The sequence below is a fragment of the Homo sapiens genome, chromosome X, assembly GCF_000001405.40.
Source record: "Homo sapiens chromosome X, GRCh38.p14 Primary Assembly".
Lineage (NCBI taxonomy): Eukaryota > Metazoa > Chordata > Mammalia > Primates > Hominidae > Homo > Homo sapiens.
The window spans coordinates 146,899,731-146,923,303 of NC_000023.11; the positions used below are offsets into that span (position 1 = coordinate 146,899,731).

At 37.8% G+C, this 23,573-nt stretch overlaps 1 long non-coding RNA gene across 1 annotated transcript in view; it reads left to right on the forward strand.

The window, feature by feature from the left end:
• LOC101928832 (uncharacterized) overlaps nt 1-23,573 on the forward strand; it is a 100,762-nt gene that overhangs the window by 45,181 nt on the left and 32,008 nt on the right. Inside the window, exon 2 of the long non-coding RNA XR_001755969.2 lies at nt 16,660-16,748. This is a non-coding gene — a long non-coding RNA (uncharacterized LOC101928832). The remainder of the gene's footprint in view (nt 1-16,659; nt 16,749-23,573) is intronic.

Consider the following 23,573-nt stretch of genomic DNA (forward strand, 5'->3'; position numbering starts at 1 on the left):
TTTAAGACTTCAGTAGAGGAAGTAACAGCAAATGTAGTAAAAAAAAAAAAAAAATAGCAAAAGAACCAGAATTAGAAGTGGAGCCTGAAGATGTGAGTGATATGCTGAGTTCTCATGATGAAACTTCAATGGATGAGAACTTGCTGCTTATAGATGAGCAAAGAAAGTGGTTTGTTGAGATGGGATATATTTCTGGTTAAGATACTGTGAACATTGTTGAAACGACAACAAAGGATTTAGAGTGTTACATAAACTTAGTTAATAAAGAGGTGGTAGGGTTTGAGAGGATTGATTTTAATTCTAACAGAATTTCCACTCTGTGTAAGATGCTATCAAACAGCATAGCATGCTACAGAAAAATCTTTTGTGAAAAGAAGAAGCAATGGATGCAACAAACTTCACTCTTATCTTATTGTAAGAAATTGCCACAGCCACCCCAAACTTCAGCAGCCACCACCATAATCAGCCAGCAGCCACCAACATGGAGGCAAGATTCGCCACCAGCAAAAAGACTATGACTTGCTGAAGGCTCAGATGAGTGGTAGCACTTTTTGGTGATAACGTATTTTTAATTAGATATGTACATTTTTTAGACATAATGTTGCACACTTAATAGACTACTATGGTATAAACATAGCTTTCATATTCACTGGGGAAAAAAGCATTTTACTCACTTTATTGTGATATTTGTGTTATTATTGTGGTCTGGAACTGAACCCACAATATGTCTCAAAGGTATGCCTTTACAATTTCAATCATACCCCAATAAAGCTAGAAAGAAGAACACATAGAAGACACATAAAAATGAGATAAAATTTGAAATAATAACTAGAAATGTGTAAAACAAATTTATTTTTCTTAGTGGCTCTGTCCAACAACCTTCAGAAACATTTCTTTTTTTAAATATTTTCTTCAGATTATCTCTAAGGTCTCTTGACAATATATCTGCTTTATTTTCAAAAGGTAGTAGCATTATCACTGTAGTATCACTCTAGTAGATGATTAATGCATACCACAAATGTGCAATATATTTTAAATTACAGTGTTTACCAACTGTCATTTTTTTTTAGTTGACGGTTTAGGCTCAATTTATTTGTGGATTTTTTCAGCAAGTTCTCTAGCTACATACTCTCTCTTTTCCAGGCTAAAAGATCATAGCAATAGGTTTAACTAAAAGTCCACAAAAAAACAACTTTAGTATTAAATTCATATCAAAAAACTTTGTGTTGTATTAAGCATAATTCAAATCAGAGTAGCATATTTTGCATCTTTGACATGACTGTGGATCTTTGATTTATATGAAATGTGAAGCAGAAATAGCCATTTAGTAGCAGCTGTTGATGAAAACTTAGAGGATACATTTCCTTTTCTTCCAATGAGAATATTATTTTGTAGTCATTATTAGAATTTCTCCAGTGGATGAGTCGTGGTTAATTCAATAACTGTACTCATCCCCATGCTGTGCATGAAAAAATTGGAGTCAAGAAGAATAAAATGACTCAGAGAATCTTCTTTGTAACCTACCTGTAGGTATTGCCAAATGTATCCTGAGAACAGCTTGATAATATTTTCAATTTGACCAGATACACAGGCAGATCAATTTAAAATATTCAATTTGACCAGTTCAATTGATCATTATGTACTCAATGTAATTCTTATGCCTACAGAGACAATGGTTAAAAAATGACAATATACAGTTTAAGACTTAAGATTTTCTTATGCTTTTTTTAATGACACTAAGAGATAAATATCAAATTGTAATGTCTTACGAGGGGTAAATTACACATACATTTTGTAGTTTCAAGTTGTTTACTTCTTATGTTCATAAAGTATGAGAACAGGAATTATCATTCATACAAATAAGAAGATAGATTGTTTTATCCATGGGCAACATCATGCTAAGTTTTCTTAGATATGCAAAATTCTCTCAGAGTTCTGAGTGGGGCAGAGTTTTTGGGTCAATTTTGATTTCAAATTGCTCCTTTTTTTCTAGACTATTAATATTTAAGGAAGGCCTAACTACTACATTGGCAAAGCTAGGAAACACCTCTCTTCATTATTGGTACTCCTGCTGGTGCCACAAAGGAAGCAACAGTTTGTTAATCAATTCAACAAATCTTTATCAAATACCAACAATGAACAAAACAAAGAGAGAGGTAGTTATGTCAATATAGATCATAGAGGACTTGAAAGCAGAGGGACAAACAGAAAATAAAAAATAATAATGTATATCCAACACAACACAACAATAAGCATATTACATTTTAATGGAATACTCCCATAAATTTAAAGACAGAGATTTTCAGAATTATTCAAATAGTAGAAAGCACCTTTAATCTGTCTACAAGGGACATACTTTAAATAGAAAGTTATGGGAAAGTTGAAAAATTGGATGTAAAGGACCAGATGGATTCACAGCTGAATTCTACCAGAGGTACAAGGAGGAACTGGTACCATTCCTTCTGAAACTATTCCAATCAGTAGAAAGAGAGGGAATCCTCCCTAACTCATTTTATGAGGCCAGCATCATTCTGATACCAAAGCCGGGCAGAGACACAACCAAAAAAGAGAATTTTAGACCAATATCCTTGATGAACACTGATGCAAAAATCCTCAATAAAATACTGGCAAAACGAATCCAGCAGCACATCAAAAAGCTTATCCACCATGATCAAGTGGGCTTCATCCCTGGGATGCAAGGCTGGTTCAATATACGCAAATCAATAAATGTAATCCAGCATATAAACAGAGCCAAAGACAAAAACTACATGATTATCTCAATAGATGCAGAAAAAGCCTTTGACAAAATTCAACAACCCTTCATGCTAAAAACTCTCAAAAAATTAGGTATTGATGGGACGTATTTCAAAATAATAAGAGCTATCTATGACAAACCCACAGCCAATATCATACTGAATGGGCAAAAACTGGAAGCATTCCCTTTGAAAACTGGTACAAGACATTGATGCCCTCTCTCACCACTCCTATTCAACATAGTGTTGGAAGTTCTGTCCAGGGCAATTAGGCAGGAGAAGGAAACAAAAGGGTATTCAATTAGGAAAAGAGGAAGTCAAATTGTCCCTGTTTGCAGATGACATGATTGTATATCTAGAAAACCCCATTGTCTCAGCCCAAAATCTCCTTAAGCTGATAAGCAACTTCAGCAAAGTCTCAGGATACAAAATCAATGTACAAAAATCACAAGCATTCTTATACACCAACAACAGACAAACAGAGAGCCAAATCATGAGTGAACTCCCATTCACAATTGCTTCAAAGAGAATAAAAATAAAATACCTAGGAATCCAACTTACAAGGCATGTGAAGGACCTCTTCAAGGACAACTACAAACCACTGCTCAAGGAAATAAAAGAGGATACAAACAAATGGAAGAACATTCCATGCTCATGGGTAGGAAGAATCAATATTGTGAAAATGGCCATACTGCCCAAGGTAATTTACAGATTCAATGCCATCCCCATCAAGCTACCAATGACTTTCTTCACAGAATTGGAAAAAACTACTTTAAAGTTCATATGGAACCAAAAAAGAGCCCGCATCGCCAAGTCAATCCTAAGCCAAAAGAACAAAGCTGGAGGCTTCACACTACCTGACTTCAAACTATACTACAAGGCTACAGTAACCAAAACAGCATGGTACTGGTACCAAAACAGAGATATAGATCAATGGAACAGAACAGAGCCCTCAGAAATAACGCCGCATATCTACAACTATCTGATCTTTGACAAACCTGAGAAAAACAAGCAATGGGGAAAGGATTCCCCATTTAATAAATGGTGCTGGGAAAACTGGCTAGCCATATGTAGAAAGCTGAAACTGGATCCCTTCCTTACACCTTATACAAAAATCAATTCAAGATGGATTAAAGATTTAAACGTTAGACCTAAAACCATAAAAACCCTAGAAGAAAACCTAGGCATTACCATTCAGGACACAGGCATGGGCAAGGACTTCATGTCCAAAACACCAAAAGCAATGGCAACAAAAGCCAAAATTGACAAATGGGATCTAATTCAACTAAAGAGCTTCTGCACAGCAAAAGAAACTACCATCAGAGTGAACAGGCAACCTACAAAATGGGAGAAAATTTTCGCAACCTACTCATCTGACAATGGGCTAATATCCAGAATCTACAATGAACTCAAACAAATTTACAAGAAAAAAACAAACAAACAACCCCATCAAAAAGTGGGCGAAGGACATGAACAGACACTTCTCAAAAGAAGACATTTATGCAGCCAAAAAACACATGAAAAAATGCTCATCATCACTGGCCATCAGAGAAATGCAAATCAAAACCACAATGAGATACCATCTCACACCAGTTAGAATGGCAATCATTAAAAAGTCAGGAAACAACAGGTGCTGGAGAGGATGTGGAGAAATAGGAACACTTTTACACTGTTGGTGGGACTGTAAACTAGTTCAACCATTGTGGAAGTCAGTGTGGCGATTCCTCAGGGATCTAGAACTAGAAATACCATTTGACCCAGCCATCCCATTACTGGGTATATACCCAAAGGACTATAAATCATGCTGCTATAAAGACACATGCACACGTATGTTTATTGCGGCATTATTCACAGTAGCAAAGACTTGGAACCAACCCAAATGTCCAACAATGATAGACTGGATTAAGAAAATGTGGCACATATACACCATGGAATACTATGCAGCCATAAAAAATGATGAGTTCATGTCCTTTGTAGGGACATGGATGAAATTGGAAATCATCATTCTCAGTAAACTATCGCAAAAACAAAAAACCAAACACCGCATATTCTCACTCATAGGTGGGAATTGAACAATGAGATCACATGGACACAGGAAGGGGAATATCACACTCTGGGGACTGTGGTGGGGTGGGGGGAGGGGGGAGGGATAGCACTGGGAGATATACCTAATGCTAGATGACGAGTTAGTGGGTGCAGCGTACCAGCATGGCGCATGTATACATATGTAACTAACCTGCACAATGTGCACATGTACCCTAAAACTTAAAGTATAATAAAAAAAAATAAAAAAATAAAAAAATAAATTGGATGTAAACATATATGCCATACAAATAGCAACCCAATTAAGGTCGTAATGGCTATGTTTGTATCGGACAGATTTCAAGGAAAAAAGTATTTCCAGGACAAAAAGAAGCAACAAGCCATAATGACACCAACTTAACCATCATATGTTCCTGTCTAGACAGAACTAGCATTTCCCAAGGTATATTCTGAGGAACACTAGCCCAATGAAACAATCAGCAGAAAAAGGTTTGTTGTCCAACAAATATTTGAGACACAGTTCTTTTTTTAACTCTACTTCAATACTTCTTGGACATTCATGATAAGACTTGAAGGGATAGTGGTTTAAAGACCTTAGGGTATTCTGTACACAAGAAAATTAATTGCCTCTGTTTAACCTGCCTTTTTCCAAGTCCATGTAACCATGAAGCCTCTTTTTATTTTATTTGTTTTCACATAACACTTTTAGCGTCCTATAGAATACAATGTTTGGTCAAAATTAAGTTTATCGAGAGAGCTCCATCCCAAGCATTAGGAAAGTGCCTGAAATATTATGGACTATTAGTCAATGTTTGGTGAACAAATGTACTGATATAAACAGAGACAGAGGCAGTATATTAGAATTGTGGTGACAATTGCATCCAAAAGTTAAAATGCCTTGTGAGTGTCCTTATATTTTTATAATGTGTACAACTCATTAACAAGATTGATGGAAAAGAGCACTGCTATATTAAATTCCCCTCCTGGCTAGGGGCAGTGGCTCACTCTTATAATCCTAGCACTTTGGGAGGCCAAGGTGGGTGGATTGCTTGAGTTCAGGAGTTCAAGACCAGTCTGAGCAATGTGGTGAAACCCCATATCTAAAAAAAATACGAAAATTAGCTAGGCATGGTGGTGTGCTCATGTAGTCCCAGTATACTCAGGAGGCTGAGGTGGGAGGATTGCTTGAACCTGGGAGGCCGAGGTTGCAATGAGCCAAGATTGCCCCACTGCATTCCAGCCTGGGTGACAGAGTGAGACCCTGCCTCAAAAAAAAAAAAAAAAAAAAAAAATCCCCTCCATGCTAAGAAGTACTGGTCATTCTAGCTTGCAAGGCCAAGATAAAACTTGTGATTAGAGGATTTTCTCTCTTCGACATATCCTAGAAAGTCAAGCTAGATTATAAACCAAAGAAATTGAAAAAGTAGAAGCCTATTTTACCAATTGCTATGATAATTTGGGCCAGAAGGAGACTACTAAATATGGGTCCGGGTGAAAGTGTCAAATGATAAGCAAGAGAAATTTGACCAAATGATTCATAAGAGCAAATGTCGCAAAAAAAAAAAAAAAAAAAAAAAAAAAAAAAAAAAAAAAAGAAGAGCAATAGAGTCCAGTTGTTACGGGATTCTTGCGGTATCACTTCTCTGGCCTGAAACCTCTGACTGGTGGCACCTTTGCTCGAGTTTTGCTTGGGCCCCTGGGCTTGTTCTGTCCACTTGGCCTGACAGGTTGCACTCAGCTCGCACTACTGGCCTGGATCCCACTCCTGCCAAGGGCAAGTCAGGCCTGGAGTGGAGAGGGGTTGGTGAGCGAGTGTGGGGTCTGGCCACTGCTCAGACATGCCAGCTTCTGCAGTGGGTGGACAGCTCCAGGTTTCAACATGGGTGCCAGGTCTCTGCAAGGCTGTGGCTGTACCGGGTGCACCACAAGCAGCTTCCCCGGCTGGCACCAGGGAACACAGTAGTGCCCTCAAGCTTGGAGACACCAGTCACTGCAGGACCCCAAAGAGGAAGTCACAGATCTGGCTTGGGGAGCTCTCAGGTCTGTACTCCCTGAGGGGCTGCAGCTATCCTCTCCTTCTCTTTGCCCACAAGGTGGTAAGCAAGGGACATGTTTCAGCCCATGTGTTACAGCTCTTTTAGCTCCACCATTCAGCAGGTCCCAAGTTCTTGTCCTGTGACCACCAATAATGAGGTACACAGAAAAGTGGAGGGTTAGCAAGATGAAGAGGAGCTTTACTGAGCAATAGAACAGCTCACACGACCTGCAGTGTGTAGCTCCTTTCCACATTCAGGTTGTCTCAACAAGTGTTCAGCTCCTAGCAGAGAGGAGACCCTGGAATAGGAAGCTCCTCTCCTCAAGCAGATCATCCCATTATCTTCCCAGCTCTCAGCAGAGAGGAGGCCCTGGAGTGATTTGATCCTCTCTGCAGCTGGTAGTCCTGACATCTCTGCAGGCCTCTGAAGCTCTCAGCAGAGAGGAGGCCCTAGAGTGTGTAGCTCCTCTCTGCTGCTGGTCATCCTGACATCTGCTGCTCTCAGCAGCGAAGACAGGTTCCCTTTGCAGCTGGCAGGTCCTGTCATCTGCTCAGATCTGGCTGAGCCTAGGAGTTTTATGGGCCTCAGAGGGGAGGAAGTACATGCAGGATGGTCCATGGGTGGCCATGGGAAGCCCAGAAAAGCCACCACAAGTTCCCACTCCAGTCTGCGGGACTGGCAGCCTGGCCCCCAGCCATCAGGAGCTCCCTGGCCTGAAGATGGTACCTCACTGGGGACTTGCCCCCTTCTGCCCAGAAATCTCTCTGCCACCCACTGCCATTTGTGGCACTGGGGCTCAGCCCTGACTTTGCTTCAAGGTTGAAGTGGGTGCCAACAGCAGGCAGATGCCAGGCAGTGGGAGCAGGCATTTCTGAGCCTGCAAGGGCAGGGGGACATTCCCAGGTCCCCAAGAGTGCAGAGATGCCTGAGTCTTCTGCAGCAGTGGTTCGGGCTGCTGCCCCTGAGCCACAGGGTAGGGCTCCTGCCTGCTCCATGGAGTGAGGGGCCCGGGTCTGAAGCCATGGTTTGGGCAGCTGCAGCTGTGACTGGGAGGTCAGGGCTCCTGCCTGTTCCCAGCCCCCAAAGAGCACAGGGAGGCTCGGATCTGCAGCCACAACTTGGGCAGCTGCCAGCCTGCCAAGGAGGGTGGGGCTCCTGCCTTCTCTGTGGAGCAGGAGGCCTGGGTCTGCAGCTGTGGTTTCAATGACTGCAGCGCTCCCAGGGAGCTCCTTCCCCAACTCAGAAGGGACAGGGCTCCCACTTGTCCCATTTCCACTGGCTCCATGGAGGATGCAGCCTCAGCCACACCTCCCTGCTGCTGTCAGCGTGATGGCAGTGGCAGGCCATCTGGAGCGCCCACTGCCATCACTGTGAGATTGATCAGTCAGAAAAGAGAGCAAGAGAAGTAGAACGAGGATTGAAAGTGGAACTGAACAAATTCCAGCAGCACAGGATCAAAGCCTGTTTATGTCTGAATTCCATTGCCTGCATGTGGGCACACATAAGATGAGTCATTTAAATGCACCAGCGTGGAATGTGGGATAATCACAAGGCATCTTACACAATAACAAATTAGGTTATAATCATATATTTTGAAGAAAGTTTTCAACAACAAAGAATGCATGGAACCTCAGTTCCAAAGCTTACATGTATACTGGAGAAAATTGGCAGCATGAAATCAAAGGACATCTAAAAAAATACTACTAGATTATGCCTAACGGAGGAACTTCTATCAGAGAGGGTTGTGTGCTTTAATTGTCTTTTTAAGATGGCATCTCAACTACAAAGAAAATAAATCTCTGGTTAGGAATTATGGACCTTGTTTCCTATTATCTTAGTGTTTAAAGGAAGGAATTATAGACTAAAAGTTATACTTAATAAGCTTGTCTTTCCTGGTCACAGTAGAGATGGTTAATAATAGGCTGAGGACATCAACAACTAAATTACTGTCAGTGATATAAAAAAAGTTTCATCATTAAAAAATGTAGCAAGGGCAAAGAATAGAACTGGATTTCTAGCTTACGAGAGAGAGAATGAAAGAGAGAGAGAGAATTTAAATGCAATTAGGTCTGGGATTGGGTAGAAGATGCAGTGATTGGCAGTGAATGATCTTGTCAAGCCACTGTGTAAGTGAATAATAGGATTGTTAGGCAAGGGAGGAAGAATCTCTTGTCAATTTTTGCTGTATGTCAAAGAGAAACAACTTTCTAGCGCAAGTTTAGCAGTGCCTGAGAGCATAAGTGAAGATGAAGGAACTTTTTTTTTGTATTTCCCTTACTTCCTTGAAATCAGCTATGCAATAACGAATTGATTTGTTCAAGACTGTCCTTACTGCGCTTTACAACCAAGAAATAATTATAAGTATTTACTGAGCACCTACTACGTGACTGATACTATTTGGGAGTAGACTTACAGCATTATTTTATAAAATTCCCTACTGTTCTGCAAGAGCTATACATGGTAATTGTTTCCCTTCAAGAGAATGGGCAGATGAATCTCTGAACAAGACAGCTCATGACACGGTTTATTGGAGCCTTCCTCAAAACCCATCCAAGGTAAGTAACCGTGGATACATCAAATTATCCACAATGTGAGTATTCACTTTTGTTATAATTATGTTCAAAGCAAGGCAGTGCAGGTATTACAAGATCTTTACTTTTGGTATTAGAAATCAACTCTTAAAATAACAACAACAACAAAATCAATATGCAGCCAGTATGTTTTATTTTAATTGTTTGCTGAGGTAGTAAAAATGTGTTTGCTAACAGCTAAATCCTAACTAATGTAATCAATAAAAGTTTTAGAAGAGACTAATAGTGAGTTTAGGAGGAAACAAAATTCTGTTAACCTTTAATTAATGATGGAATTACTTTACACAGAACTCCCCATTCAGGCAAAAACTATGGCTTAATGAAGTTCCATGACCTCTAACGAATAAAGATAAGATAGCAGACACTCTAGTATGGACATATACAAGGCATTGCAATGCTGATATAAATTTTAGTTTGCCTCGGGAAAGAATGAGAAAGATATTTTTGGAAGACTATTTTGGAGCTGTGTGGATGAATCACACATACGTCACATCTACCAGAAAAAGTCAAGCTGCAGAAGAACTCATACAATTGGATACTGTTTATATGATGTTTAATCAATATATTGATTACAAATACCCAAATATGTAGTAAGTGTATAAAAAGTAACAAGAGAATAATAAACACCAAAATTAGTATAATAGTCACTTCTATAAAAGGTGGAGGTAATTGGTGCAAGGAACTTAATTGAATTAAGTTTTTTTTTTTTTCCCCCTGAACTGGTTTTGGATACACAGGTATTTGTTGTGTTCATAGCTATATTTCATTAAACGTACTATTATAATTTTTTTTCAAATATACACACAAGTAGTGGTTTTAGTAAAATAAACTCTCCTATACTCATCTTTTGTATTCAACAATTATTAAAATGTTATATTTACTTCATCTATCTTTGTTCTTCTTTATATTTCTAAAGCATATTTTTTAATCCGAAACAATGTGTTATCTTATTTCTACATACATACATTCTACATTCTTTATATATTTACTACATATTTATGTATTTTAATCAATATATTGTTTTTCATGTTTTTAAACTTCATATCAACAGTACGCAATTGTATGTGTTTGTATTAGCCCATTCTTACACTGCTATAGAGAACTACTTGAGACTAGGTAATTTATAAAGAAAATAGGTTTAATTGGCTCATGATTCTGCAGACAGTACAGGTAGCATGGCTAGTGAGGCCTCAGGAAACTTTCCATCATGGTAACTTTCCATCATGGCGGAAGGTGAAGGGTAAGCAGGCACTCCTTACATGGCCAGAGTAGGAAGAAGAGAGAGAAGGGGGAGGTGCTATACACTTTTAAACAACCACATCTCCTGAGAACTCGCTTACTATACAGTACCAAGGGGAGATGGTGCTAAACTATTAGCAACCGCCCCAAGATCCAATCACTTCCAACTCGGCCCCACTTCCAGCATTGAGGATTACGATGCAACATGAGCTTTGTGTAGGAACACAAATCCAAACCGTATCAGTGTTCCTCTGCAGCTTAACTTTTTCTGGTCAATGTGACATATGTACGATTCATCCATATAGTTCCGCAACTGTTTTACAATATGGGTTTTTAAAAAACATAACAGCAATCCATCATCACTATTAACTAAGAAAATAGTAATTCCTTAGTATCATGTATACCAGAAGCCTATAAAAACAAAATCTTCCTCTAGTTGTCTCAAAAATCCCTTTTATTCAGTTGATTTGTTCAAATCCGGTCCACACTTGATATTTAGTTATTAGATCTCTAGCCCCTTTTAATCTAGGGTGTTCCTCCCTCCCATTTATCTTTTCATGCTATTGGCTTACTTCAGTAACTGGGTCAGTTCCCATAGGCTGTTTATTCATTCTTTCTTTTTGTATGTCTTGAATATTGCATATGTTTTAAAATATTTAAGATGCTATTATGTTGAAAAGGTTATGTATGACATTCACACAGTTGTTGGCCTTTTGAAGCATGATGAGATGATAGAAATGGAGAAAAGTCAATTGTCTGGCACTACGAATTGTATCTTTTTCAGAAGATGTGCCCGGATAATTTTTGACCAAGAAAAGCACTGTGTTATGAGTGGGCATGTATTTAGACATTAGTAGATAATAAATGTCTTACCCAAGAAGCACCAAGAAATGGCACTTTGTGAATTGCAGATCCTCTACCTATTCTTTTTCTAATGATAAATAATCTTTATTCCAGATAAGATTTATTTAATTTAAATTCAGCAAACATTATTTAACACCTAGTATATGCAAGTCATTGTTATATACTGCACCTAGGGTTGGAGACCAAGAGGAAGATTATTATTTATTAATAATAATAACTGATATTTATATAAAAATAAATATATGTCATTAATATCCCCCAAACAATTCCATAAGGTACCATTGCATTGGCTATTATACAAATGATGCTCAGAGAAATTAAGCAAACTGCTCGGGGTCTCATAGCCAGTATAAACTGTTAAAAAATAACTATAGCTGAAATTTGTTTTGTTTGAACTTGATTTGTCTGACTCCAAGACAGAGACTTGTAACACTGTCCTACAGTATACTGCCTCAAAGATAAGTGTAACTAACATGTTGATCACAACAGCTAGGACATTCCACTTCACAGCAATCTGCTTAATTTGGCCCAAACTTCAATTTAATGCCCAGTGCGAGTAAGAAGCCCATTCCCTCCTTCCTATAATTTCAAGTGGCTTATTTTCACACGCCTTCCTCCCTGCAGGATAGCTTTATTTTTGTCACTAAACTATGAATACAACTCATGTTTTCATCAGTTTCCCCATGAAATCTACCAACACCCAGCATGTTTTTGTTTGCTTGTTTATTTGCCTGAGGATGTGAGGTTACAGTCACATGGAGCATTTCCTGGTGGTGGAGCTGGGTCCTACTGCCTGTCTCACAACACCATCCTTACATTATATTTGTACCCAGGTCTTTGGATATCTGGGCTCCTGCCATTAAGTAGCATGAATTTTTTTCCCCCAATGAGTACATGTACTATCCTAAGAAGAATTTTGCTGGCAGCTGTTAGAATAAATATATTTTTCCACCATAAGAGAAGCCTTTCCCAGGTTTCTAATCTATGGGAGTGACATATGCTTTGCTGAGTGACTCCACCACACAGCAGACAGTATTAGACAAGGACAATATTAGACAGATTCCCTGAAGTCTGTTTTTTCACAGACCTTCACAACAGCCTTGGTGGGAATTCTAATTTTCCTACTTTATTTATAAGGAAATTAAGTAAAATTAGGAGAGCCTAATCACTCTAATCAAACCTCCAGAAACTCTTCATTCACCTGTCTCAATTGGATCCCCTGAGGCTCACTTCTTGTTCATGTCAGTTGGCAGCAGTAAATCAGTACCATTGCTTACTCCTTTGATGGGGAACAGAGATTTCTGCTTTAAGAGAGCTAGAAATAGAATTATGTAAATACCGTTAGCTTACAGCACTTCTCATTATCCTCCATACTAGGATTGGCATACATCTCAAATTCTACATTAATTTCCCCCCACAATTTATCTATATATCTATATTTCCTTGAAAAGTTTTTGCAAACATAGGAGATATATATATATGTACATATATGTGTGTGTATATATATATGTGTGTGTGTGTATATATGAATCAGAAACATTTAGAAAATGTCAAATTAGAAAATAATATGCTAAAGGAGAGCTTTAGTTGTGGCATTTACAAGGCTTTTCTTTTAAATCAATATTAGTACCTCAATCATAGGCAATAGAAGGTGCTATTATTTTTATCTTAAATTGCCCATAAACGAAGGACTTTCAAATCTTAGAACAGTATTGCACGAATGTGTTTTTTCTTTATTAATTTTATTGGGGGTGTAATTGGAATAAAATGCAGTACAAACATTTTGAGTGTGCATTACGATAAAATTTGTCAATACAAATGTGTAACCACCATCACAATCGTGACATAGAACATTTCCATCAGCCTAAAAAAAGTTCCCTCTTGAGCCTTTGCTTTCTGTCACAATGGAATAATTTGGGTTTTTTTAGGATTTCATACAAATGCAGTCATGCAATATGTCATACTCCGTGACTAGCTTTTTTCCCTCAGTGTAAAGTTTTGAGATTCATTCACGTTATTGTGTATCAATAGTTTATTTATTTCTACTACTGTATTCCATTATTTGTGTTGTTTGAATATTTAACAGGTTTTTTTTCTACTCATCTGTTGGTACTACTTTGGTCGTTTCCAGTGGTCAAATATTACAAAGAAAGCTGACATTAACATTTATGTACAATGCTCCGTATAGACTTAAATTTCTTGTCTCTTGGATAAATACTTAGGAGTGAAATTGCTGGTTCATGGGGAAGCATGTGTAATCTTTTTTTTTTGTTATCTTTTTTTTTCTTTTTTGTATTATACTTTAAGTTTTAGGGTACATGTGCACAACGTGCAGGTTAGTTACATATGTATACATGTGCCATGTTGGTGTGCTGCACCCATTAACTCGTCATTTAACATTAGGTATATCTCTTAATGCTATCCCTCCCCCCTCCCCCCACCCCACAACAGGCCCCGGTGTGTGATGTTCCCCTTCCTGTGTCCATGTGTTCTCATTGTTCAATTCCCACCTATGAGTGAGAACATGTGGTGTTTGGTTTTTTGTCCTTACGATAGTTCTTTTAAGAAAATGATAGATCTTTTAAAATTGGTTATACCATTTTATGCTACCCCAACAGTGTATGAGAATTCTCATCACTGTACGTCTTCATCAATATCTAGTTCTGTTAGTGTTTTAATTTTAGTGAGGGTGTACTGGTAGCCCATGGTGGCATTTAATTGCATTTTCTTAATTACAAATGAAGTTGTTCCAGCAACAGTTATTGAAAAGCCCAGCATTTTCCATTGGTACTTTAGTTGAATTTATCTATTGAACACATATGTGTAGGATTATTTTTAAACTTTCTATTCCGTTCATTTAAACTACTTATTTATCCTTACATCACTAATACACCATCTTGGTGCCCATGATAATGCTTGAAATCAGGCAGAGTAGCCCTTCAATTTGCCCTCCCTTTAAAATTTTATTTAGGCTGCTCTAGACCCTTCACATTTTCATATGAATTTAAGAATCAGCTTGTATATTTCCACAAAAATATTCTGTTCTGGACATTGTAAAATCTATGTAAAGTAACGAATAAGCCTCCAGCCTCTTCTGGAATGACAGAGGCTGCTGAGTACTTTTCTAAGTTAGCATAGATTAAAGCTATTTTAAGTGTTTCTAAGTATTTTGCAAGCACTTTGCAATGATAAATGGGAGACTGGGTATGAAAGTGACTTTTGAACATCCAAGAATTGTGTAGGATTGTGTATACGTGTGTATGTATGTATATAGTGTATGTGTGTATGTGTATCTACACATATACAGATACAGATAAGAAGAGACAGAGAGACAGAGAGAGATGAGAAAGAGAGAATATTTATTATTTTAAAAGAGTACATTTGAATATATTATTGAAAGACCAGTCTTGTGTCTTGTAGAATTTGCACCAGTTCACAAAAAGCCCATAGAAAATCCACTGAAATGTTGGACATTCGAGATTAGTAACACTTGACAGTAAAGGAAACTGTTATGCCTTTGGGCCAAATTTGTATTTCTAGGTATGACATCGAGTTAATTTTTTTTGTGCTTCATCCTTCAGGAAAACCAACCTTAGCTTGCTTATTAATTCTTGAAGGAACACTACAATAAAAATAAATCCTATAATATTAACTTAATACATTGTTTTTCATGTTCTAATTTTGTTAAATTTGCATAAGTTGTGGATCACTAGTATTTCTCAATATTTAGGTTCAAATATGCATGGTCGTGTGTCTTTATTCTCTCTTCAACATGCCCCTCCAGTGACAAATTAGCAAAGAAAAGTGCAATTTGTATTTTGTATAGTTCAAGTTCTCTCAGGATGTGTCATAATATCCTATTAGACAGTAGTAGTGTAGTGACAGGGAAGATAAAGAGGTTCTGGTCTGTGCTTTGAATGCTGAACTTATTTGTATTAAGAATGTGACAGTTGGATGGACTTCTGAAACCTGTGAAGCTGCTTCTAAAATCTCTCATTGACCTAATCTCTACAGTACAGGATATGTGTACAGTGTTTTTGCTCTAAGCAAAAGGATGTAACACTATATTACAGAGTAAAGTTAAATTCCCATAACCATCGCCCTTTTGAAATGTATTCATGTGCAACTTTAAGTGAGGCTTCTAAGACCCTACCGATATCGGAGGAACCCACCCCTGATAATTCAATGTGGGTTCTTTTCTATTTCCCCAAGTGTCAGCCGGTCTGAGAAATAAAGGGACAGAGTACAAAAGAGAGAAATTTTAAAGCTGGGTGTCCGGGGGGAGACATCACATGTCGGCAGGTTCTGTGATGCCCCCTGAGCTGTAAAGCCAGCAAGTTTTTATTAGCAATTTTCAGAGGTGAGGGAGTGTACGAATAGGGTGTGGATCACAGAGATCACATGCTTCAAGGGTGACAAAAAAATCACAAGGCAGAAGGTCAGGGCGAAACTAGAATCACTATTGAACTTCCATGTCCCTCTGTGCACGCGTTGTCGGGGTTCAAGAGCAGAGAACCAGTCTGACTAGAATTCGCCAGGCTGGAATTTCCTAATCCTGGCAAGCCTGGGGGTGCTGCAGGAGACTAGGGCCTGTTTCATTCCTATCTACATCTGCATAAGGCAGACATTCCCAGGGTGGCCATTTTAGAGGCCCTGCCCTGATAATGCATTCTTTTCCCAGGGCTGTTAATTATTAATATTCCTTATTGGGGAAAGAATTCAGCGATATTTCTCTTACCCATTTTCGGTAATAAGAGAAATATGGCTCTGTCCTGCTTGGCCCACAGGCAGCCAGACTTTAAGGTTATCTCCCTTGTTCCCTGAAAATCACTGTTATCCTGCTCTTAAGGTGCCCAGATTTCATATTGTTCAAACACACGTGCTCTACAAACAATTTGTGCAGTTAATGCAATCATCACAGGGTCCTGAGGCGACATACATCCTCAGTTTATGAAGATGACAGGATTAAGAGATTAAAGCAAAGACAGACACAGGAAATCACAAGAGTATTGATTGCGGAAGTGTTAAATGTCCGTGAAATCTTCACAATTGATGTTCTTCTGCCATGGCTTCAGCTGGTCCCTCCGTTCAGGGTCCCTGACTTCTTTCAACACCTATCCTGTCATTCTCTAGAGAGCTTGTTCCTGAAGCATGGTGCTAAGTCCATATGCAGCAGATGGAGCTCATGAGAAAAGAGTTGCTCTTGTGAAGACCAAAGCTTGGTAAGTGACCGCTTTGTTATTTGAATTTGGTCATTCACAAATTAGAGTTTATGCAGAGGCCATCAAAATGCTCAAAGCCTGTGTACTGTTAGGTGAAGACCTGTAAAAGTAACTGAGGACGATCAACATGAAGACTTGTAGATGACATGACGATGCTCTTTAGAAATGTTATGTTTCCATCTGGATGAATATTTTGTAAATAAAAGGTGTTAATTTTCAGATAAAATTAGAAACTTAAAAAAATAATAATTAGCATTATCTCATGAAGTTGTGAGTTAAAATGTCAGAATGCTGAGCTTTTTTTTCTTTTTTAATTAGACAAAATATGGGATTTGAAGTCAGGTAGAAAGCTGCTATTACATCTGGGCCCCATCACTTACTAACTTTGTGAATTTAGACAAGTTGTTTAGAATTTCTGTTTCTCAGTTTCCTTATCTGTAAAATAACCTAACTCCTAGAGTCATACTGTGAAACTATGTGACATAGTGTGTGCAGCACCTAGCACAGTGCTCAGCTCATAGGACATTATTTTGTCTCTGTCAATGAAGTATTTCCAGCTGAGCTGAATGCTTATGTGTGGGACTGAGGTAAGAAGGCTGTATTAGTCTGTTTTCATACTGCTATCAGGAACTGCCCGAGACTGGGTAATTTTTAAAAGAAAGGGGCTTAATTGACTGACAGTTCAGCATGGCTGGGGAGGCCTCAGGAAACTTACAATCATGGTGGAAGGTGAAGGGGAAGCAAGGCAAAGTTTTCACAAAGCATCAGGAAGGAGAAGTGCTGAGTGAAGGGGGAAGAGACCCTTATGAAACCATCCGATCTTGTGAGAACTCACTCAGTATCACTAGAACAGCATGGTGGAAACCACTCCCTTGATTCTATTACCTCCATCTGGTCTCTCCTTTGACACGTGGGGATTATGGGGATTATGGGAATTACAATTCAATATGAGATTTGGGTGGGGACACAAAGCCTAACCATATCAAAGGCTTTCCCAGTTTTAGTAAAAAAAAAAAAAAAACAAAAAACAAAAAACAAAAAACTCAATTATCTTTAAAGTCTCTTCCAACTCTGCAATTCTGTGTATCATCTTCTAACTTGTAATTATTTTTGTTTCAAATCAGACAGTGTGACATAATACAATAAACATTTTTTGTGCAAAAATACTCCACTACTCAAATACTTAATACTCATTAAATGAGTAAGTATAGAAAATCCTTACAATCTACTCCGAAGCGCAGATGATTATAAACAGTAAAATCTGATCACATTTCCTCTGTATATCTATTTTAATAACTTATGCTTGACCTATGAGTTTATAGTGAATGTCAGATTCTATCTATTCAGCACTGCTGCCAATTTTCAGCTTCAGGAAGTCAGAAAGTATAAGGCATGAAGTGTTAGTTCTGCTCAATTGTCCAGCTGACTCTTCTGACAGCATGAAAAGATTTTGTCTGTGAAGAAGTTGCCAGTTGTCCTTATAAGGTTAGGAGCTGAGTTTGAATCTCTTTATTTAGCTATTTTACATCTTACATGAGTGAAATGATGTAAATCTTTGCAAAACATTTTTTTACATTTTTAGCTTGTGAAAATTCTTTACTCCCGACACCTCCAGTGCAAAATAGCACTTTCCTGTTTTATCTACAAAATGGCCTCCTTTCAGAATATCCCTGGTGCTAATATTAGATTAATATGTGGATTTTCATGAAAAAGATGTCTCCAACTTTTTTTTTATTTAAATTGTCATTCCTTTATAGATTTCTCTTTGACTTTTCAGACTGAGGACCCTAAACCATTTCCAGTCACCCTATGCTTTCTGTATCTTCACACTATATGTACTGTGGAGATTGTCTATGATTTTTACAACATTTAATTTCTCTGCTTTTGTATGCCTCTTTGGATTTCCTGGCACTATTCAGAACTTTTCTGGCTTCTTTGGCTTCTCTCATTTCTAATCACTTAGTGAACATCTCTGCTGGGTTGTTCTATATAAACCTCAAATATCAAATTCAGCGTATACAAACTGTGCTCATCCCTCCAATCTGCCCTAACTTGCTTCTTTCCCCATATTCCCTTTCTGGCATCCTCATAAAAGAATCCTGGAAGTCATCTTAGACTACTTTCCATACATACCCACATATTTATCACTTGTGGCACTCTTCATTTCCTTCTGTGTATTCACGTTACCATCCAGTGCCATTTGATAGTTCGCATCAATCAGTGTTATAACAATAAACTGATTTTTTTCTTCTGCCATCTCAATTTGGCTGTTGAGACGATATATATAGTGGATTTTTCATTTCTGTCATTTTACCTTTCAAATCCACAATTTGTATCTGGTTCTTTTCTTAATACTTACCAGTATTTATTGTATTTATATATTTTATATATATATGTGTGTGTGTGTATATATATACACATATATATATATATAAAATATATATTTTCTCGTAGTTAAAGCAGGCATATGGGAGTACTTGAAACCACCTCTCAGAGAGGTGGCTTTCTGAAACTGTCTCAAAAGCCAGAAAGTCTCTTTCCCAGAACTGTCTTGCAAAATGTTTTCACCTCTCATTGGCTCTAATCATCATAGGCCAACCCCCCTGAATGCAATCATTGGTAAGGGGATGGGATTACCATGATAAGCTTTAATTAAACAGTACTCATTCTTAGAGATGAAGACAATTCCCCAAACTAAATAGCTGCTGATTAATGCTGTATTTGTGTGTGTTTGTGTGTGTGTGCTGGGAGAAATGGATTGAATTCTGGTAATTCTAATATAATGTTCAATAATGTATTTTTGAAGAAAATAATTGTGAGTGCTGATCCAGTTTTTGAAATGGTGGCTAGTTTATAGACCTTTCTACTTCTTCCTGAGTTAATTTTGGTGGTTTAGACATCTTTAGAAAAATATTCATTTTTTTCTGATTTTTTCAAATGTGTTTACAATTTGCTATTCATTAACATCTTTGTTTCCTTCCTTCCCCTTTTGGGGAGGCTGTTCTCTTGTTCCTGATTTGAATGTTAACTTCTATTTTTAAGATGTTATTTAAAAATGAATTAATATTTTTGTACCCATTAACCATCCCCACCTCTCCACTAACCCCCACTACCCTGCCCAGCCTCTGGTAGCCATCCTTCTACTCTCTATGCCCATGAGTTCAAGTGTTCTGATTTTTAGATTTCACAAATATATGAGAACATGTGATGTTTTGTCTTTCTGTGCCTGGCTTATTTCACTTAACATAATAATCTCCAGTTCCATTCATGTGGTTGCAAATGACTGGATTTCATTCTTTTTTTACGGCTGACTAGTACTCCATTGTGTATATGTACCACATTTTCTTTATCCATTCATCTGTTGATGAGCACTTACATTGTTTTCAAATCTTGGCTATTGTGAACAGTGTTGCAACAAACATGGGAGTGCAGATATTTCTTTGATATACTGATTTTGTTTCTTGTGGGTATATACCTAGCAGTGGGATTGCTGGATCATATTGTAGCTCTATGTTTTGTTTTTAAGGAGCCTCCATACTGTTCTCCATAGTGATTTTACTAATTTACATTCCCACCGACAGCCTACGATGATTCCCATTTTTTCCCACATCCTCACCAACATTTGTTATTGTCTTTCTTTCGGATATAAAGTATTTTAATTGGGGTGACATGATATCTTGTAGTTTTTATTTGCATTTATTTGATTATTAATGATACTGAGCACCTTTTAACTGAGCACCATTTGGCAAATGGCAAAAATGCCTGTTTGCCATTGTATGTCTTCATTGGAGAATGTCTATTCAGATCTTTTGCCTATTTTAAATATGAGATTATTAGATTTTTTTCTATAGAATTGTTTGAGTTCCTTATAAATTCTGGTTATTAATTCCTTGTCAGATGGGTAGTTTTTGAATCTATGGGAGGGCAAAGGAAGGAGTACTTCATTTGAAGAAAATTAGGGGAAATGAAGGAGAAGTGAAAAACGTGTCTCCTTGGAACCATGTATAAAGGTTTTTCCAAGACTAAAAGAATTCCATTAGAATTTCAGGCAGAAGACAAAGACTGAGCAAAAGCTTATGGAAAATGACAGTATGTCTAACACCAAGGACTGTAGCCCTGGCTCATGGAATTGTTGCTTGTTTGTATTTGCTGGGCATTCCATACTTGCATTGAATTTGGTGCCTGAAAGATGCCCATCCTCCTGAGTCATTGGATCTGAACACTGCCTTGGATCATGATTCCATCATTTCTATGTTTAATGCCCAGACCTGAACCTATTTCCTTTATGTAAATCTTTCCATCCATCCATCTATCCATCCATTCATCTGCCCATCCATCTTCTACCTAGCTACAATTTAGTTAATGCTTACTAATGCAATCATATACAGAGGAACTCAGTCAGGTTAAGACACAAATATATAGAAAGCTATTACCTAGGTCTTCCCCCAAATAAATGAGGCATAGAATTGCTTAACAAAATAGATGCAATTCTTACATTTAAGGAACTCACAGCTAATGGAGAAAGCAGGCAAATAAGCAATTACAGTTCAGTGTGGCAAGTACTGATATAAGTAAACTTAGCATGCTATGAGAACCTGGAGACTGGTCACCTCACCCTGCCTGGAGTTACAGCAAAGGCTTTTCAGAAAAAAGGATAGCTATAAGTTTGAAGTTAGCCAGGGTGAGGATAAATATTTCAAGAAGTAGAAGAAATTTATGAAGACCTAGAGTTAAGAGAGAATGACATATTTAGGAAATAAAAGTAATCCACTGGAAAGAATGCTGACACCTCCTTTGTTATGGGTTAGGAATTTGTCAAAAAACCAAAAGCATGGGCAAAAGAATAAGAATTAAAAAGGCTAACTAGACAGGTACTGTGAGTGAACTTCTACTTCAATGACTTTGGAAGCCACTTCCTGTGCTCAATTATTCAGCTTTGTTTCAGAAGTTTCATATGTACTATTTTTAAATGAGTTTATATTTTGGGTTTATTAAACATCTGAGGTCATGCTAACATTCTGTCCTTAGGTCAAGGTAAAAAGTAGGTAGAGAGGAACTCACCATTTAAATTTGAAGTTGATAAATAATAAAAGAAACCCAATCCATATTTATCATATGTTTATTCCTAGTCAGAATGTTGTTTAATAAAAACTGTCTAATGTTTCCAGAAGATTTATTAGCTGCTGCTAAGCTCTTTAGGGAAATGTCACTGATTTTGTGAGGTCATGCAAAATTGAATCAGGTATTTGGAGTTTTGTTCCTGATTCTACCACTGACTCACTTCGGGCCTACCTTTGAGGCCTTTTTATGTGAGGCCAAAACATTTTTTCTTACAAGGAGAACAAACTTTGGAGCTTCTTGAAGGGACTGCTTTGTTTATACAGGTATAAATTATTTATTAGGAAGGTCGAACTTTCAGATTCTTTCATGAATAGCAGAAGTTCCTTATAGGGTAAGAGCTAAGCCCTTACCTGGGAAATCGAGCCAGCAACAAAAGGAGTTTCCAAGAAATAAACTAGGCCTAGGAAACACATATATGAAAATCTGACAAACAGATAAATATTTAGATAGTAGTTGGCACTGGAATTTCCAATTGTTTGGGAAGTTTGACATTCAGGGGATTAAACCATGGTCAAAAGTTGACAGGTGCTAAGTTGGGCACAGGACAAGGGCCATTCTCGGAATCACAACAAAGGAGTTAAGACCAAACAAAATTCCATCATAAGGAATGACACGAAATTGGAAATGGGAAAAAGGTTGGTGAGACCAGTGAAGAATAGTTATTTGGTAACAATGGGCATTCACTAATGGTCTCTATGGAAATCAGATCCAAGGTTTACTTATCAAGTGAGGAAGATCTGGAGAAAAAATCAGAAATTACTCATTACAACTGGGCAACTAGTTCCCAGGTCTGCTGGTCTGCTCATTTCTGAGTCTGTGGCAGTGTATTTGTCAGGAGTTCTCTAGAAAATCAGAACCAACAGTATACACACACACACACACACACACACACACACACACACACACACCCATGAGAGAGAGAGAGACAGAGACAGAGAGAGAGAGATTGTTTCATTTTAAGAAATTAGTTTTCATTATTGTGGAGGCTTGGGAAGTCCAAAATCTGCAGGGTGGGTCAGGAGGCTGGAGACCCAGTGAAGATTTACAGTCTTAAGTCCTTCTTCTTCCAGAAAGATCAGTCTTTTTTTATCAAGGCCTTCAGCTGATTGAATGAGCCTTTATCCACATTATGGAGGGCAGTCTGCCCTACCCAGGGTATACTAACTTAAATGTTAATTTCATCCAAAAACCACCATCACAGAAATATTCAAAATAATGTTTGATCAAATATCTGGGTACCATAGCCCAGCCGAGTTGACATACAATATTTGCCGTCATAGCCAGTGACTTAGACTTTAAGACCATGGTAAATAAATAGTTAACTGGGACCAGGATTAACACTAGAATCCCTAAACACTGAAAGGATTATGATGCTTTCACCATACCTAATTCAAAAAAAACATAACATTAAATTATCCTTTTTTTGAAATAATATCTTACATGAATGCTGACTTTCCTAGTTATGTGTGTGTATGTTTGTGTGTATTCTCTATTTTTCTGGTTCCCTAAGCATACTTTTAGTCTATTATATAATACAAGATCTCTTACCTTATTTGCTTCAAAAATTGAGGAAGTTTCCGAGGCTACAAGACACAGACATTAATGGACACGGTTTTCATGAGCTGGGGCCAAGACAATCTGAGAAATGCATGAAGCAAAGGAGATGCACGCACGCACGTGTGTGTGTATGTGCGCGCGCGGTCA